Below are 17557 nucleotides of genomic sequence, written 5' to 3'. Positions count from 1 at the left end.
AGAACTTAAGTCAAAATAGGAAGGAAAAGTGGAAGGAGTAACAGAAAACATGTTTATCAGTTGAAAAAGATGACAAGCTAACACAGCCAGACCACAGTAGCAGAGAAACCAAATAGGAAAAAAAAGTGATTTCAAATATGGAACTAAACCATGGATCAGGAAAAAAGAGCTTTAGTATAACAGATTTTTAAGAGACACTAGAGAAAAGAGGGAAAAGAGTGGTCCTTGTGATGTCGGTTAATATGCATTAAAGTAGATTCGTACTTATGTCAGTTTATATGGTTACAACTGTCTGGGTCCTATTATTTCTAAAGGTCCTAGAAAACACTCAAAACCATAGTGATGCCTTTGAAAAAAGAGACTGAGGGGAGTTTAACTGGAGATTGAAGAGAACCCTCAGAAAAGCAACTATAGGTCCAGCCAAGTCTCATGGAAGCATCACTCTGGGAAATAAAGCGCAATCCCTATTTAGGACTTGTTTTCTAGCTCTGAAATTCTAGTTTATCTAGGACAGGGATTCTCAACCCTCCTTTAAGCAGCAGAACCCTTTCTTTAAATGAAGTGGAACTCACAGATAACATAAGATCCTAAGAGAGCTGCTGCTGTTCGAATGAGGTTGGGAGCCCAGGAGCTGTGGCCAGCCCACTTCTAGGCCTTTCTCTGCAGCCTGAAGCAGTTCCTGAGGCACTTCCTCCTCAGACCCTAGAAAACAGTTTGGGGACCACTGGTCCAGGAAGTGGCAGGGAAACCTGTTCTGTACTGCTGCTCTCTGGAAACAATCATAAGGTACAGAATGTTTGCTGCTATACAGTGACTGGAAAGATGCATGCAACACGGTGCCCAAGGTAAGACCAGTTTTAGGAAAAAATACAAATAATGGAGTTCATGTAACAAAGTCCCCCTTCCTTTTCCCATTAAGGCCATAGGAGAGTTTAACCAAGTTTACAGTAAATCTTCTGCCCCCATAGAAATGCTAAAAATTTGGAGAAAGACCTCAGAGACCACTAAACGTGATGCTACCGACTACAACTGCTTACCAAAGAAAATCACGTCTCATAAAAGACAAGTTGTTTTAATCCTCAATTGTTCATATATTACAGTAAGAAAATAAGCAAATCTGAACTTGCTGAAGTAGCTGTACAAAATTTAACACAGAAACCAGTCACAGCAGAAAGAGGCTACTGGCAGCATGGCTGAGGGGAGGCGAATTTCAAATACTGATGCTGACTTGCCACAGGACCAAAAGTAAGTCACAAAATAGTTATTTTGCTTAAATTTTCCCAGAGCGTGCTTCCCAAGCCATCTCCTTGGGATGTGAGGAATCTTGACATGATAATTATAAAATTCTAGAACAAGAGGTCACCTGAGCTCAGAGCTCACAAGTTCATCTGACTGGTCTACATTTATAGGCACTAGAGGCTGGGCATGGTGGCTCACGTCTGTAATCCCAGCATTTTGGGAGGCCGAGGTGGGAGGATCTCTTGAAACCAGGTGTTTGAGACCAGCTGGGCAACATGGTGAAACCCCGTCTCTATAAAAAATACAAAAATTAGCCAGGCACGGTGGCATGAGCCTCTAGTCCCAGCTACCTGGGAGACTGAGGCAGGAGGACTGCCTGAGCCTGAGGAGGTCAAGGCTGCAGTGAGCCATGATTGTGACACTGCACTCCAGCCTAGGCAACAGAGCGAGACCCTGTCTCCAAAAAAGAAAGAAAGAAGGCACTAGAGAAAGAGGGGAAGCATTGTCCTATTTCGAAAGAACATTAGCAACAGGGGCTCTACAAAAAGATTAACACTGTCAAAAAATAAATCAAAATCCATCAAGCCCAGTGTTTATCAACCAGGATTGATTTTGCCCTCTAGGGGGCAATGGGAGTAGACAGGAGAGTTTCCAGTAATCACAAGGACCTGGGGGTACTACTGCCATTTAGTGGGCAAGGCCAGAAAAGTTAGACTTCCTGCAGTGTGGGGGGCAGTCTCGCACAATGAAAAACAGTATCACCTAAAATACTGAGCCCAATACAAAGTTTCCCATAAACACAAACCATGAAGAGATATGACCCTCTAATTTGGGTTTAACTTTAGTGTTTAATAACCATCCTAGGTTCTCTGATCACAATCTAAGTTCTCTCTAGACTTAAGAGTCTACGGAGAGATGCACCTCTTCCTTATAAAATAAACTCTGGAACATCTACTAAGTCTTTCCTTACTTGGCCTTCTCCTTTCCAAAATAAAGGAAGTTTGATAAGTATCCTAAGGTAATACAAGACAGTACTACAGTAATGATTTCTGTGAGAGATGGCCACCTGTAGTAATTATCTCCCACTGCCATGACCGGAAAGTACTGATGGGCCCTAAAATTTAGTTTTTAGCTGAGAATGGGACACAAGGCAAGAAGGACTGAAAGCAGGGTGGGTATCAGAAGGAAAAAGCAGAAGAGTTTTAAGTAAGGGAAGCCAAAAGGGGTTTATTAACTGCATTGCCTCTTTGATCAAACTGTGAAATTCTAGAGCACGGAATTTTAACCAGGGTCTTATGGGTAGAGGAAAGGGGAAATAAAAGTTTGAAGCCCCCAAAATCATACACAAAATGTTGAATGTAAGCACTTTTTGAAGAGAGGATTCCTACCTTTATCACTTTCAAAGAGCTACAGGACCCCAGAAAGGATAAGAATCTCTGCTACAGTGACTCATCTGAATTCCAAAGGAAGAATAAATGGTATAGAACAGAAATTCAATATAACCAATTTAAGGAACAAAATGTCAGACCAAGTTGTATCAACTCAACCACCCATATAAAAATAACAACTGTTTGCCAAAGCAAACGTATGGCAATTTCACATAAACAATGAAGAAAATCAACTGAGAAATCTTGAGAAATGGCTTGCGGTGCCTGAAGACTTAGGACCAGATGATACACTGGGGATCCAGTCAGTCAGTAGAAACTGCTCCAAACCTCAAGGGAAAAGAAAAGTGGGCCCAACCAGTGGTTTGAGTGGTCCAATGAGGCTTCTTAACCATTGAGCCTGTTGCTTTTCTCTTTGGCATTTTAGATTCTAGGTCCTTAGGAATGCTTGAAAACATGGCCAAGAAAGGATTGAAAAAAAAAAAAAACAAAAAAAACTCCTAAAGCTTTTTCTATGGATTTATATGAGGGAACCACTCTGGGGACAGAGAATTCCACAATAAGTTCATAAAATTCTGGTGAACCTAGACATTATTTAAGAACAGATGCAGGACTCTTCACTCAAAATAAGCCATCATCCACTGTTGGGCTGACTAATTATATCTCCCAAAAAAAATTTGCCACTGCGAAGTATGTTTAAGGCAAAGATCTTACTTTTCAGCCTAAGGGCGTAAAGCCCTCAGCTTCAGGGCTTGGTTCCAGGAGTCTTGCTACTTTGTGGTCCAGAACCAGCAGCATTCAGCATCACTGGCATCGTCTAAGAGCTTGTTAAAAATGCAGACTCTCCAGGTGCAGTGGCTCCCACCCATAATCCCAGCACTTTGGGAGGCAAAGGTGGATGGATCACTTGAGGTCAGTTAGAGACCAGCCTGGCCAACATAGAAACCTCGTCTCTACTAAAAATACAAAAATTAGACAGGTGTGGTGGTGCACACCTGTAATCCCAGCTACTTGGGAGGCTGAGGCATGAGAATTACTTAAACCCGGGAGGCGGAGGCTGCAGTGAGCCCAGATTGCCACTGCACTCCAGTCTGGGAAACAGAGCAGGACTGTCTTTAAAAAAAAAAAAAAAAAAAAAAAAAAAAAAAAAAAAGCAGACTCTCAGACCTAGCCCCTGATGTACTAACTCATAATCTGCATTTTAACAAGACCCCCAGGTGATTCCTATGTACATCAAAGCCAAGAAGCACTACCGTAAGTAACTCCCGCTATGAATAAACATACTAATGAGGCTGTCACGTTATGGTGAATTTAAAGGGCAGAACCACAGAAAGATAGAACGCTGGACCAACTGCCAAGGTTCTGACTAGTAGAAGTATTGTAGCTCAGGTAGTCAACATGCTGAACAAGATAACTTTTCTTTTTGTGTTTTTCCTTTTGTAAACCTAAGGATAAAGAAAAAAATAAATGTCCAAGATTCACTTACCCATTGATAGATGTTCTAGACATAAACAGGCTAAAAACAGATGACACAAAAGAATGATATAATTGGATAAATAGCCAGCCCGATTTCTCAATGCTGTTGTTTAAGAAGATCTGTGTTCCTTGATCAAGGTAACTCTGAACAAAGACAGCCTGGAGTGATTCGCATAATTTCTCTCTGTTGCACACATACCACTAAAAAAAAAAAAAAAAAAAGAACAAAAATTAAAACACACAACCGAAGTGTCACCTAAGAAATCCAAAAACAAAAAACCAGAAGACTAAATCACATCTAAGATTTCCAAATATTACCATCTCATGATACTCTGAGAATAATCATTTCGTATACTCATATAACCTATAAAATATAAAGTACTTCTTCAGACATGACTTCTCATTTAATTCTCTTACAGCCCTCAAGGTAGGTAGAGTGGGTGAGGGAAGGGTGGAGAGGCTTTTGGGTCATTCAGCTTAGTAGGCAGCAGAACCAGACCACAGCTCAGGCACTCGGACTCCCAGCCCAGTGCTTCAGTCACTGTACCCGAGATTTAGAAAGCTCTGCTGGCCTCTCTTTCACTGAGATTCAACATCAGAAGGCAAACAGCTAGCAGCATCCTTGTTTTTAGACAAGAAAACAGTCACATAATCCAATGCCTTAACTCAAAATCACCAAACAAACCCAAATAGCAAAGTAAGCAACAGAATTTAACACTCCAGTGACCAGATTAAGTTGCCTTTCCTCTTGTGGACTATGTAAAAGAGATCTTTAGAAATCTTGAGGTATGCTTTACAAATAGGTCATATGACATTCTTACAGAGGCAACATGTGCTCAAGAAAGATTAAGAAGTTACTTAAGGTCATACTGCAATCAACGAGAAGACCAAATAGTAACATGCTAAGAACCAGATTTCCAGGAATTGGCTCTACCCAGAATCCACATTCTAGAACAAAATTCAAAAAGCTTCACCTGTAGATGAAATTTAATCTTTCATAATAAATGAGTCAGCATACCAGAGAGGTGGGGAAGCAGACTGTACATCAGCTTTAGCGTCAGCCCCACAATCAAGTCCCGGCTCTGCCCTTCCTATGTGAGCTCAGACAAATCACTTAAATCTCTCAGCCTCCATTCATTTGTAGACTAGAGATGTCACTGGGGTCTATATATCCTGGCAGGGTACGATGAGGATTAAACAAGATAATGCAGGCAAGTCCTCAACATAATACAAAGCACGTAGTGAGAATCCTACAATAATAATAGCAGTGAGATTCCTCTAACATAGCCTGAGAAATAAGAATAAGCCCCTTAAGTACAGTGATGAAACTACAAAGTATATCAATTATTATTAACCCATTATCTGCCATGAAACACAAATTTTTCCCAGTCAATTGGCCAAGAGTAATTTGCTTCCCCTTGACAAATACGACCTTTTATCAGCAGTAGACGTCCCATAAGTGCTTGCACAATTGGTAGACCAGCTTTACAGTCATCCTAAGCTTACTAATGTTCAGTGAAATCTTAAGTAACATTCCTGATGCTAACGTTAAAAGGAACTAGTTACAAATCAACACAAACAAACAGGCACGTTAAATTTCAGAGATTAATCATTTTACAAACTCTGTTCCCTAAACTGGGTAAACCAAACCTTTCCAGTTGTGGACTAATTTGTGCTAATTTGCCATTTCATCACAGTTATCAAAACTGCTTGGACTTTATATATAAAACTGTTTTTATTTTTCCTACTCTATATGACAAGCTATGAAGCTTTTTACATTCACTGCCTACATTTTTTCCCTTGGTCTGAAAATGTTCTTGCTTAATGATTTTCTAATTCTTAATACTTATTGTGCCTGAAGTTATGCTCCAGTGCAGGTCATAAACCGTTTTTTATTATACTCATGACCTCCTGGTGCACGTTCTGAACTCTGTAATATGGAGGCCACTCTGACTTTTATTTATTTTTTATTCTCTGAAATGGCTAATCAAGATGAAAGCCATCACCTTGATAATAGGCAATCAGGTACATTTTATTAATGTGGATGAGAAGTCATTCAAGTGAAACAGAGGAGCTAAGAATTCCTTGGCATCCACTTGTAAATGGACTAGAACAACAATAGATTCTGACTTCTAGAACCAAGCAGGAACTGGCACCATTAGCTGCAAATAGTGCTTTCAAGCACCAAGAGGAAAACTCAAGTTTTTAATAGCATTTTTCTCAATTCATCAACATTAACACGTGTGGTTGAACCCTTACTGTCACACAGGTCTTTCTGGAAAGAAACTGCTTATTGAACAGAATGTGCTACAGAACAAAAATAGAGCAAAGCTCTTCTCTTTAAAAAGAAAGGTGAAACGTATGTCCTTTCTGACCATTTGCATGACACAAATGTCGATTTCACAGCAGCAATGTCAGAAACTGCAAACAAGTCAAATGTCCATCAAATGGTGGATAAGCAAGATGTGATAATAGATTCATATAAAATAATAGCATGTTCTGCCATACAAAGGAATGAAGCACTGCTTCATGCTCCAGCATGGATGAACCTTGACAACATTATGCTAAGTGAAATAAGTCAGTCACAAAAGACCACATACTGTGTAATTCCACTTACGTGAAATGTCTTGAATATGCAAATCCAGAGATAGAAAGTAGATAGTAGATTGTGGCTGCCAGGGGCTGGGGAGCTGGGACAATGTGGAGTGGCTGCTAATGGACATGAGGTTTCTTTTTGGGGTGATGAAATGTTCCAAAATTAATACTGGTGATGGCTGCATAATTCTGTGATTATACTAAAAATCAATGAATTGTACTCTTTAAAAGGATAAATTTCATGGTATGTGAATTATATCCCAATAAAGCTGTTTTTTAAACACACACACACACCCCTCCCTAAATATGCAGGTGGCAGTTAGATCTTCCAGAAATTAAAAGTGGCCTGAAAACATAAGTAACCTAGAAAACCTCTTAAAATGCAAATTTTAAATGCAAATCTGATCACATCACTACCCTGCTTAACAGGAATCTTAGGATAACATCCAAAATGCTTAATATGGCTTATAAGGCCCTGCACGATTTTTGTTCATTCTGTGTCTCCAGCCTCACCTCATGACATTCCCTACCAACCCATGACCCCTGGACCCTCACTCCATCACACAGCTCCACCCCTTCCTTCTTTTTTCTGGAAGGCCCCTTTCCCGTGGCTGTCTCACATGGTATTTGCTCTGCCCCCCAACATTTCCCACCACCTAACCCACTCTCTCTTCACCTGGTTCGTTCAACTTCAGCCTAAATATTTCCTAGGTATATTTTCTTTTCAAAGGAAAATATACCTACGAAAGGCTAGGCTAGGCCCCCTGTTCTAATACCCTTTCATACATCCCATTTGTCCCTTTGGTAATATTTACAATCTCTGAATTGAATAATTGTAGACAATCGCATGTTCAGTGCCTATCTTCCCAGGTAGACTGAGAGCTTCATAAAGGCAGAGAAAATGAATGGCTTCAGTGCCTGGCACAGATACAGACAAACAATAAATGTTCATCAACAGGCAGCCTAAACAGAATTTGGAGTTTCTAACAAAATCCTAGAGGAAACATAAGGATAACCACAGAGATCGCTGCCATGGGGTTTCTGTCAATTTCTCAAACTCTGCAAGGCCTTGCTTAAACCTAATTTTGCAACCAGTGGTTACAGCTACCCACTCACCACAAAATTGCATTACCACAAGCAAGGAAGCAAGCAATGAAGGAAGACACCAACTGAGCACCTATCATGCACCAGGCACCAAGCCATGTGCTTTACATTTCATTTACCACCTTGCAATTTCTGAATAAATGGGAAGCATAGGGTCCCTAAGCAGCTCCAGCTGATTCAAGCTCCTGCTCCAGGTACGTGTTGTTTTATAAGCGTTTCTTTCAAAGAAGCTTCTCTTCACTTAACTCTACCCAGTGTGTCTGCTAAAGAAAAGAAAGCAGGACTATCCTGCCAATTAAACTGAACTACATGTGTGTAGAGAAAAGATAATCTGGTCTAGATAGTAACTAAAGTCCTGTAAGCCAGGGTTTCTCAGCCTTCACACTACTGACATTTGGAGCTAAATGATCCTTTGTTATAGGGGCTGACCTGCACATTGTAGGATGTTCAGCAGCATTCCTAGTGCCTATCCATCAGGTTACAGTGGCACTACCCCAAATGACAGCCCAAAATGTCCCAGGCATTGCCAAATGTCCCCTGGGAGGCAAAACTGCCACTGCTTGAGAACCCATACATGGCCTTACCCACAAAATGTCACTGTACTGACTCTCCAGTAGTGTTTCCCACTATCCCAGCCTAACTATGGTCTAGGGACTCCAGCTGACTGAATTAAAAGATGGACTCGCTGGCCTCAGAGAACTTACATTCCAGAGTGAAAATAAAATCAGAAACCAAGGGAAACAAGTAATGTGACTATGATCTTGGCGAGGAGCTTCAGAGCCTTAAAGGAGCAGTCACCTTGCCCTTAAGGTGAAATACCAAGGACCAAGGAGAGAAAAAATCTGCAGGAACCCCTTTAACCCAATGGGCAGGACTCCTGGTTTCACCTCTCTCCAAACAACCAGCTTAGATAAAAAGCTACGCTAAGCTCGCAGCACTGGGTGGCTTGTCTGTATGCTCCTGTGTACTTTCAAGCAGGTGAGTTCTTTGTTTTTTTTGAGACGGAGTCTTGCTCTGTCGCCCAGGATGGAGTGCAGTGGTGTGATCTAGGCTCTCTGCAACCTCTGCCTGCCGGGTTCAAGTGATTCTCTCGCCTGAGCCTCCCAAGCAGCTGGGATTACAGGCACCTACCACCCCGCCTGGCTAATTTTTGTATTTTTAGTAGAGATGGGGTTTCACCATGTTGGCCAGGCTGGTCTTGATCTCCTGACCTCAGGTGATCTGCCTGCCTCGGCCTCGCAAAGTGCTAGGATTACAGGCGTGAGCCGCTGCGCCCAGCCGCAGGTGAGTTCTTTAAATGTGTGCTCCTTAAAGACTACAGAGACAAAGGTGCACAGGCAAGAACAAAGTACTATGCCCGTTAAATTCACACACTGACAGGACTACACGCCCACTCTACTGTGAGGCTGGACTCCTTGGCTGGAGCCTACCATGTCTGAAAAAGCATCTTATTAGCATCTGCCTTTAAAGCTCACTCAAATGTTGTTTCATCTAAATAAACAAGGGAATCTTTTAAATGACAAATTCTAATCAAATGAGAATGATTCCATTCAGTCATCTGCTGATGCCAAGTACAGAACAGGATGTGATATCTAAAAATTACAGTAAATAGCAATATTCTCCCTACTGGCAACACAACTGCAAAGATACTAATAATTGGCCAGGCAGTAAACAGCCAAATCAGGTGGCTGCCACGCGTTTTGAATGCATGTCTGACAGTATTCGCCAACCGAAGTTATTAAATATTAGGTCATACTGTCTTAAAAATTTCCTGGCTGGCTACGATGGCTCACACCTGTAATCCCAGCAATTTGGAGGCCCAGGTGGGCAGATCACTTGAAGTCAAGAGTTCAAGACCAGCCTGGCCAACATGGTGAAACCCCGTCTCTACTAAAAATACAAAAATTAGCCAGGCGTGGTGGCAGGAACCTATAATTCCAGCTACTTGGGAGGCTAAGGCAAAAGAATCACTTGAACCAGAGAGGCAGAGGTTGTAGTGAGCCCAGAGTGTGCCACTGCACTCCAGCCTGGGCGACAAAGCAAGACTGTCAAAAAAAAAAAAAAAATTTCTCATTAAGCCCATGAACTCCTCCTAATATTTATATATAACCTTGGTTGATGAATCACTCGTTCAAAGTAGGAATGCAATTTTCCTATAAAATTAGATTTGCTAATCAGACCAAATATGGTTAAAAGTTTTTCTGAAATTATTTTTGGAGTTTATCAACTAATCAAACATGTGATATACAACATATCCAAAATACAACATTCCCAAAATACAAAGGATTTAAGCACACTAGCAGAGTCAGAAAGTAATTTTAAAAACTGACTGATTTTAGATGATGTGGTATAATAAAAAATACATATTTGATCTTTGTCCCAGGTTCCTGATAGAGAGTTCCTAAAACCCTTCGGGAATCTCAGGGTAATAAGAGTATCTTTTGTATGCTAACAGGATGACTCCTGATAGGGGTGGGAGACCCAGACAGCTTCAGGATGGGGACCAGGATGTGGGTATAAGGTTCAAACTTTCAGCCCCACCTTCCAATCTCCAAGGATGAGAAAGGAGTTGAAGACTGAGTCTAATCATGCCTATGTAATGACACCCCTAAACTATGGGGTCCTGGGAGCTTTTAGTTTGCTGAATACATTGATATGATGGTTGGGTGGCTCATCAGAGGAAAGAGAAACTCTACACCACCTCCCACACCTCACCCTATGCACCTCTTCCACTTGGCCGTTCCCCAATTGTATCCTTTGTAATAAACCAGTAAACCTAAGTGGTTTATTATTATTATTATTATTATTTTGAGACGGAGTCTCGCTCTGTCGCTCAGGCTGGAGTGCAGTGGCGCAATCTCAGCTCACTGCAACCTCCGCCTCCACGGTTCAAGCGATTCTCCTGCCTCAGCCTCCCCAGTAGCTGGGATTACAGGCACGTGCCACCACGCCCAGCTAATTTTTTTGTATTTTTAGTAGAGACCAGGTTTCACCCTGTTAGCCGGGATGGTCTTGATCTCCTGACCTCGTGATCCACCCACCTCAGCCTCCCATAGTGCCGGGATTACAGGCGTGAGCCACCGCACCTGTGTTTTCCTAAGTTCTATGAGTCATTCTATTATAGGAAATTAGGGGGTGGGGTGGGGTAGGGTGAAGGTAGAGTTGTGGGAACTCCCAAATTTGTTCAAGGTGGACAAAAGCACTGGCAGCCTGGGAACCCAGGACTTCCAGCTGGCCTCTGAAGTGAGGGCAGTCTTGTGGGACTGAGCTCTTAACTCTGTAAAGCGTGACCCTAACTCCAGGTAGTTAATGTCAGAACAGGATTGAACAATTAAACACCCACTTGGTGATGGAAAATTAGAGAATGGCTGATGTCAGGAAAAAATGACAATACATGTAAGAATCTTTTTTCAACTTTAAGCCTTAAAAAAAGCATGCACAAACCAGATAAAGGCCAGAACTTCAAGCAGCTGTCTTATTCTCATCTAATTCACAAACTACAAAATCTTCAACAAGTATTGTGCACACAGCTACCTAACTTCAGTGTCTACACAGAGGCCTCACTAGAATGAGGGCAGTTTCCTATTCAGAAGGCAAGCCTAGGCCAGGAGCAGTGGCTCACGCCTGTAATCCCAGCACTTTGGGAGACTGAGGCAGGAGGACTGCTTGAGGCCAGGAGTTTGAGACCAGCCTGAACAACATGGCAAGACCCTGCCTCTACAAAAGATTTAGAAGCTACTCAGGAGGCCGAGGCAGGAGGATGTACTGAGGCCAGGAGTTTGAGGCTGCAGTGAGATATGATCAGGCCACTGCATTCCAACTTGGGTGACAGAGTAAGAACTTGTTTCTCAAAAAAAAAAAAAAAAAAAAAAAAAAAAAAAAAAAAAAAGAAGGCAAGCCTATTTTTACCACCCCTCAGACAACACAAGGTTTACCAGGAGGGGCATCATAAAGCAGCAGAAAATGTGTTGCCTTGAAACCAAAGCTGGGTGCAAAGCCCAACTCTATCATCCATTAACTCTGTGCTGGTGAGCAAGTCTCTTCTCTCTCTCACCCTCACTTTTCTGTATGTAAAGTGCGGATGATACCACCAACCTCCAAGAGTTCTATGTGGACTACTGGGGATAATATATTTGAAGTGCCTGGCACACAATAGAAGGCCAGTAGCTCTTCATATTTCCTTCCCCTTTCTCTCCAAGGCAAGGGCTGGTCAGAGGAGAAGTACAGTTCAAGGGAATGCCTAAAAACCAAACTGTAGGTCTAGGCATCCAGCCATTCTCAAAAGAAATGGGTAATCAAAGACCCAAGGCATTCAGGGCTACCAAAAACAATCAGAAAAGCTCCACTGCTCAGGATCTATGAACACAGAATCTTTTCTAAGTTGGCCAGACCAACTCCATCAACAGAGCTTGACAGCTAAGGATTCAAAATTCACATTCTAAGATTTTACAATGCAGTCAACTCAGTCCAGACATTTCACCATGCACACCTTGCATTTAAGCACAGCATAGGCGTAAATATTCAGACCATTCACCATTTTCCCACAAACAATATAAACTCAACCCAATAACCTCTTTATGTGAGATTTCAATGTGTACAGTGACAGGCACCCTCATATCCATGAGGGGAATCAATTAAAACAGATTAAATGGCTTCAGCTTTGATTTAATAACCAATTACTGGCAATCCTCATTGCAAATACTAAATACTCACTCCCCATAGGACAGGATAATCCTAAAATTTTAACAAAGCTTCAGAGGGTCTACACAACAGAGCTTTTTACTGGAAGCTATTAGGGTCTTCTAGGGCACCTTCAAAGAGAAACATAAAGACTCCTGGTATATCCAGCACAAGAAAGAGATTCTAGTGTTCTGTGAAACTGAAGCAAACACTTGGGGTTTCAACACAGATTATGAGGAAGCAAAGAAATCCTTTCTGAAGTCTCTTTGGTATTCAGCTGCAAAGGCCTCCAGACTCTCGAAGGCAGTTCAGAGAAGGACGCCAATCCATCAGTGTCTGTCCGGCTTAGCTGGCTGACTATCCTTGAAGCATTGTTAACTCATGCCTGACTCCAGTCTGCCTCCACAGGGTAAGTGAGGGGTAAAGGGACAGGAAACACTCTGTCCTTTAGCACAGTGTTTGGCTCTGGCTATGCTGTCCAAGTATTTTTTCATTTGGGGGAAAAAAAAGGATTTTAATTCTTTCTTGAATTCTTCATCACTTGTGGCATAGCGCAGTTCTGAGCTTATATAAGAAAGTGAAAAAATAAGTCACAAAAATATACACATACTTGCAATTTTAAGTTACAACTTAATAATTCCAGATATTGAATGTTATCTGTGCTTTTAAAAAACCTTGCAGTATGTCACCCGGAGAAATCGTTGTGGTTTGGTTCAGCGAGTTCTATAACAATTTTTTCACTCCATCAATTGAGAAGCTACTGAACCGCTATTATTACCAAGAACCTGGGGCCTAAGGGTCCTTTCAAAGTTTCAGTAGCTCCATAATAGTTGCATTAACTTTAAGCACTAGGTGCAATGCATCAAAAAGAATAGATCCTAAGTTTTTTGTTGTTGTCTTTTTAAATTCTGAGTCTGCCAACATTGCAAAGTGACAATATCTACTAGTTTCTCACTGCCTGCCTCTATTTCTTCCCAGTGAGTCAATCTACCCACCCTGCAACCTGTGATTAAGAATATGCTGTTGGAGGCTGGTTGCAGTGGCTCACTCCTGTAATTCCAGCACTTTGGGAAGCCGATGTGGGAAGATCACTTGAGGCCAGGAGTTCAAGACCAGCCTGGCCAACATGGTGAAGCCCTGTCTCTACTAAAACTACAAAAATTAACCAGGTGTGCTGGCACGTGCCTGTAATCCCAGCTATGGAGAGGCTGAGGCATGAGAACCGCTTGAACCCAGGAGGTCGAGGATGCAGTGAGCTGAGATTGTGCCACTACACTCCAGCCTGGGTGACACAGTGAGACCCTGTCTCCAAAAAAAAAAAAAAGCTGTTTGTTAAGGAAGCTGGGAATTTCTCTTGGAAAAAGTCTTTATTCTGTAAGAAGCCACGTAGTAAATGTTTTAGGCTTGCAGGCCATACAGTAGCAAATATGCTGCTATTGTAGCCAGGGAGCTCATAGACCACAGGTAAATGAATGTGGTAGTTCTCTTTCAATAAAACTTTATTTGTGGGCTGGGTGTAGTACCTCACGCCTGTAATCCCAGCACTTTGGGAGGCCCAGGAAGAAGGATCACTTGAGGTCAGGAGTTTGAGACCAGCCTAACCAACATAGTGAAACCCCATCTCTACTGAAAACTACAAAAATTATCTGGGCGTGGTGGTGTTCACCTGTAATCCCAGCTACTCGGGAGGCTGAGACATCAGAATTGCTTGAACCTGGGAGGCAGAGGTTGCAGTGAACCAAAATTGGGCCACTGCGCTCCAGCCTGGGTGACGAAGCGAGACTCCATCTCAAAAAAAAAACACTTTATTTGTAGACACTGAAATAAATTTGAATTCCATAAATGAAACTTCATGTATTACAAAATGTTATTTTGATATTTTCTTGGTAACCATTTAAAAATATAAAACTATTCTTATTTCATAGGCTGTAAAATAAGTCTGTGAGACCAGTCTGGCCTCCCAGCCACTTCCCTGCTCTAAGTGAAACCCTGCTTCTTGCTTGCCCAAAGTGAAACATAATCCCAGTTTTGAAGCTAGCACACCAAACCAAGTTACTAAAATGGCACTGCTACTACAGTTTTAGAGCAGCTTTAGCCCAAAGGAGCCTTGCCTCTCCAAACTATACTAACAAAATAGCCATTTTTAACGAATAAACATTGCCCAAGATCTCTCTTTTAACCACAGAATCCTCCATCATAATTCCTTAATAAAATAACCAGAAGGAACACTTTTGCTAAGTATGGTTCAATCAAATCCACAACCCTACTTTTATGCAACTCCAAAAGGCCCAGATGTGGCTGGCTATGGAACTCACACACCCAACTGAACACTTAGAAGACCTTGTATAAAACTATTAATCTGAAGGAGGAAAAACAGTTACAGTTACTTCACAAGCAACGAAGTTATAAGGCAAACCCAGGATCCTGGAATATTAAGTGGAAAACAAATTATCAACTCCAGCCACAGTGCAGAAAGGACAGTTTCCTACTTTATCTCATGGTGGTTTCTACACACCTTTCTTCTGTTCCTTTTAATCTTTATTCATGCACGATTATTTTCATAATATGAATGTATTCATGTCAAAATAATGTCTGGATTCATTATTCTAAGGAAAAGAGTTGACCCATCCCCCAAATATTCAGAAAACACCATATTAAGTCTTCACCCTAAAGAAATTATCTGCTGAATTGTTAGTGAAGGGGTACACACACACACACACACACACACACACACACAGAATATAAATACGGTATCTGAAATAAACGTATCTGAAACCAGTATTAGTTTTCATTAGAACTTAACAGATTCAGCTTTTAAAAGGTACAGTCAGAAAGTATCCTCTGCTGGGAGATATTCTGAGGCTATGTCTACAGCTGCAATTCCGCCTCCATACACATCACAGTGTTGAAATAGTGTTTCAATTTTAAAATAAGTGCAATTCTTTTATGAGCACTAAAAACCTACCAAGTGGCTGCAGTAGGGGTAATCATGATAAGTGTTATAAATACCAATAGCTAAGAGACTCAACCATAATCCCCCATCAATGGAGATAAATCGCTTTTTCTCCTATCCAGGACCTTATTTCTATCAACTGCTTAAAAATGTTAAAAATGACATTTCTAATTCATTGTCTACCCCATTGTTCCATATGTGACATTCTGGTAACTGTACAGTCAACGGTACAGTACCTTTGAGTTGTCTCTATAAGAATGAACTAGTGTAAGCAAATAATCCATAGGAATAAATGTGGTTTTGCAATTTAAGTTTACATACATTCCTAACCATATCATACAAGTGATCAATGATACTGATATTGCACCTAACAAACTGCAATGGCTGGAGGCTTTCAAAAAAATTTACAGAAATTTAGGATTCCTTTAACAATAGAAAAAAGCCCAATATACATATTACTAAAGACTAAATGCTACTTTTCTAAATTGCTCTATCTCCTTCTTAGACAATTCTCTACCCTCATTAAAACACATGAAATCAACCTGGGTGTAAATTCTCTGAACACCTGGCATAATAAAAAAGTAATGTAGGAAAATGAGAAATATATGAAAATGATGAGACACAAGATGATATAGGGAATAATTAATACTCTATGGAAAAGCAAAATGTATTATAAATGCTAGCTATGACAAGCCAACACTCTGGCAGAGTTCAAAAGCCTCTTTTCAATGAATTTAACATTAACTGCAAACTATGTTAAGGTCATATACGAAATATCTCACTTAATTCTACAGTTAACCTGTACACGTTTAAGTGGCGCAAGACTGAGCTAATGAAAAGCCTACCTACCCGGTCACAGCGTAACGCTCACGATGCATAACTAAAACTCCCTCCCGTCCCGTTCTGTTTTAAAAACCCTTCCTGTAAAACTTGCATAATCTTCCTCCTCATCACACACAATCTTTCTAGCAGGCTGACTAAATCCAAGTTTAAAGGAGATCTCTGCTAGGTAGGAGGGGAAGGTTCCGTAGGATGGGAGCGACAACCTGTCAAACCCATTTTTTAAGTGCTTAGGGAGAAATGTCACCCCAATCAGCCTGGAGAGTTCAATGGCTTGCGATGTACAGTTACATTTCTTCACGACCCTTTGTACGTTCTGGGATTCAACGAGACAACAAGAGGGGCTGGCTTTTCGTTTTGTTTCTCGGGGTAATGGATCTGGCCGGGTCTCTTCAGTCTCAGGCCTCGGTGCCAGGCGGGCGCCCCCAGCCACGCTCTGGCCCCAAAGTTCCCCAGTCCCGCTGCCGGGCGTCCGCAGTCACCGCCCGGGACCCAGGAACAATGCGGGGCTCCGGGCCGCTCACGATCGGGCCCGGGAGGCCATGCCCCGCCTGCGCTGCGGAACAAAAGGCGCTCGCGGGGCCGCGGCCGGGTGCCCGGGGCTCGCGGAGTCGACGCCCGGCGGGGAAGGCGCGGGGAAAACTTTCCAAGGGGCCGAGGCGGAGGGGCGAGGGCCGGGCCGCCCCCTCGCGGAGCCGTCCCGCACAATAGCCGGGCCCAGCGCGGGAAGGCCGGGCCGCCACGCCCCCGCCCCGGCCCCGGCCCCAGCCCGTACCTGGTGGTTCTCCTTCCTGCCGCCCGCGGCCGCCGCCGGCCCACCCGGGCCGCTAGTCATGTTCACGTACAGGGAGCGGGTGAGCGGGCTCCGCAGCGTCCACATCCTCCGCGCCAGCCACACGGACGCCAGGCTCAGGCACAGCCAGCCCGCCAGCAGTCTCATCGGGGGCCGCGGCCGCTCGCTCGGATCACCGCCGGCGCCGGGGCGAGGAGGAGGAGGCACCGCCGCCTCCGGCCACCGCCGCCACCGCCCGAGCTCGAGCCATCGCGGCCGCCTTGCCCATCCAGCCCCCTTCAGGGCAAAGGCTGGGGGTGGGGAGGAGCAGCCGGCGCGCAGCCTCGGCACCTCCCCCTTCCCTTCCGGCCGCGGAACGCCGCTGCCCCCTGCACCAGTTTCCATCCGGAGCACTTACGAGCGGCCGCGTCGCTTTCTCCCCCGGCGCCCTCCCTCCGTCCAATGAGCGGGCCGCTGGGAGGCGGGACAAAGGGAGCGCGCATCCGCCCGGAG

General features: G+C 43.1%; 1 protein-coding gene across 4 annotated transcripts in view, besides 2 other annotated features; it reads right to left on the bottom strand.

The window, feature by feature from the left end:
- METTL9 (methyltransferase 9, His-X-His N1(pi)-histidine) overlaps positions 1-17557 on the bottom strand; it is a 60264-nt gene that overhangs the window by 40526 nt on the left and 2181 nt on the right. For 2 of the 4 annotated variants that reach the window (NM_016025.5, NM_001077180.3), the window contains exons 1-2: positions 17048-17369; positions 4111-4301 (exon numbers count right to left, since the gene is read on the bottom strand). In NM_016025.5, coding sequence (NP_057109.3) covers positions 4111-4301; positions 17048-17212 — 356 coding nt within the window. In that variant the 5' untranslated portion in view covers positions 17213-17369. Of the gene's footprint in view, positions 1-4110; positions 4302-17047; positions 17370-17557 lie in introns of those variants that run through there. The other 2 variants (NM_001288659.2, NM_001288660.2) reach the window with 1 other exon arrangement.
- Positions 16090-16654: an enhancer, noted in NCBI's record as "H3K27ac hESC enhancer chr16:21611613-21612177 (GRCh37/hg19 assembly coordinates)". NCBI's record gives its function as "activates a minimal SCP1, AML or CMV promoter by ChIP-STARR-seq in primed H9 embryonic stem cells {active_cell/tissue: H9 hESC(primed)}" and the evidence as "EXISTENCE:reporter gene assay evidence [ECO:0000049][PMID:30033119]".
- Positions 16763-17382: a silencer, noted in NCBI's record as "silent region_7257". NCBI's record gives its function as "represses an Ori minimal core promoter by ATAC-STARR-seq in GM12878 lymphoblastoid cells {active_cell/tissue: GM12878}" and the evidence as "EXISTENCE:reporter gene assay evidence [ECO:0000049][PMID:35858748]".

The sequence above is a fragment of the Homo sapiens genome, chromosome 16, assembly GCF_000001405.40.
Source record: "Homo sapiens chromosome 16, GRCh38.p14 Primary Assembly".
NCBI classification, from domain to species: Eukaryota; Metazoa; Chordata; class Mammalia; order Primates; family Hominidae; genus Homo; species Homo sapiens.
This window is presented reverse-complemented; position numbering and strand designations above follow the sequence as displayed.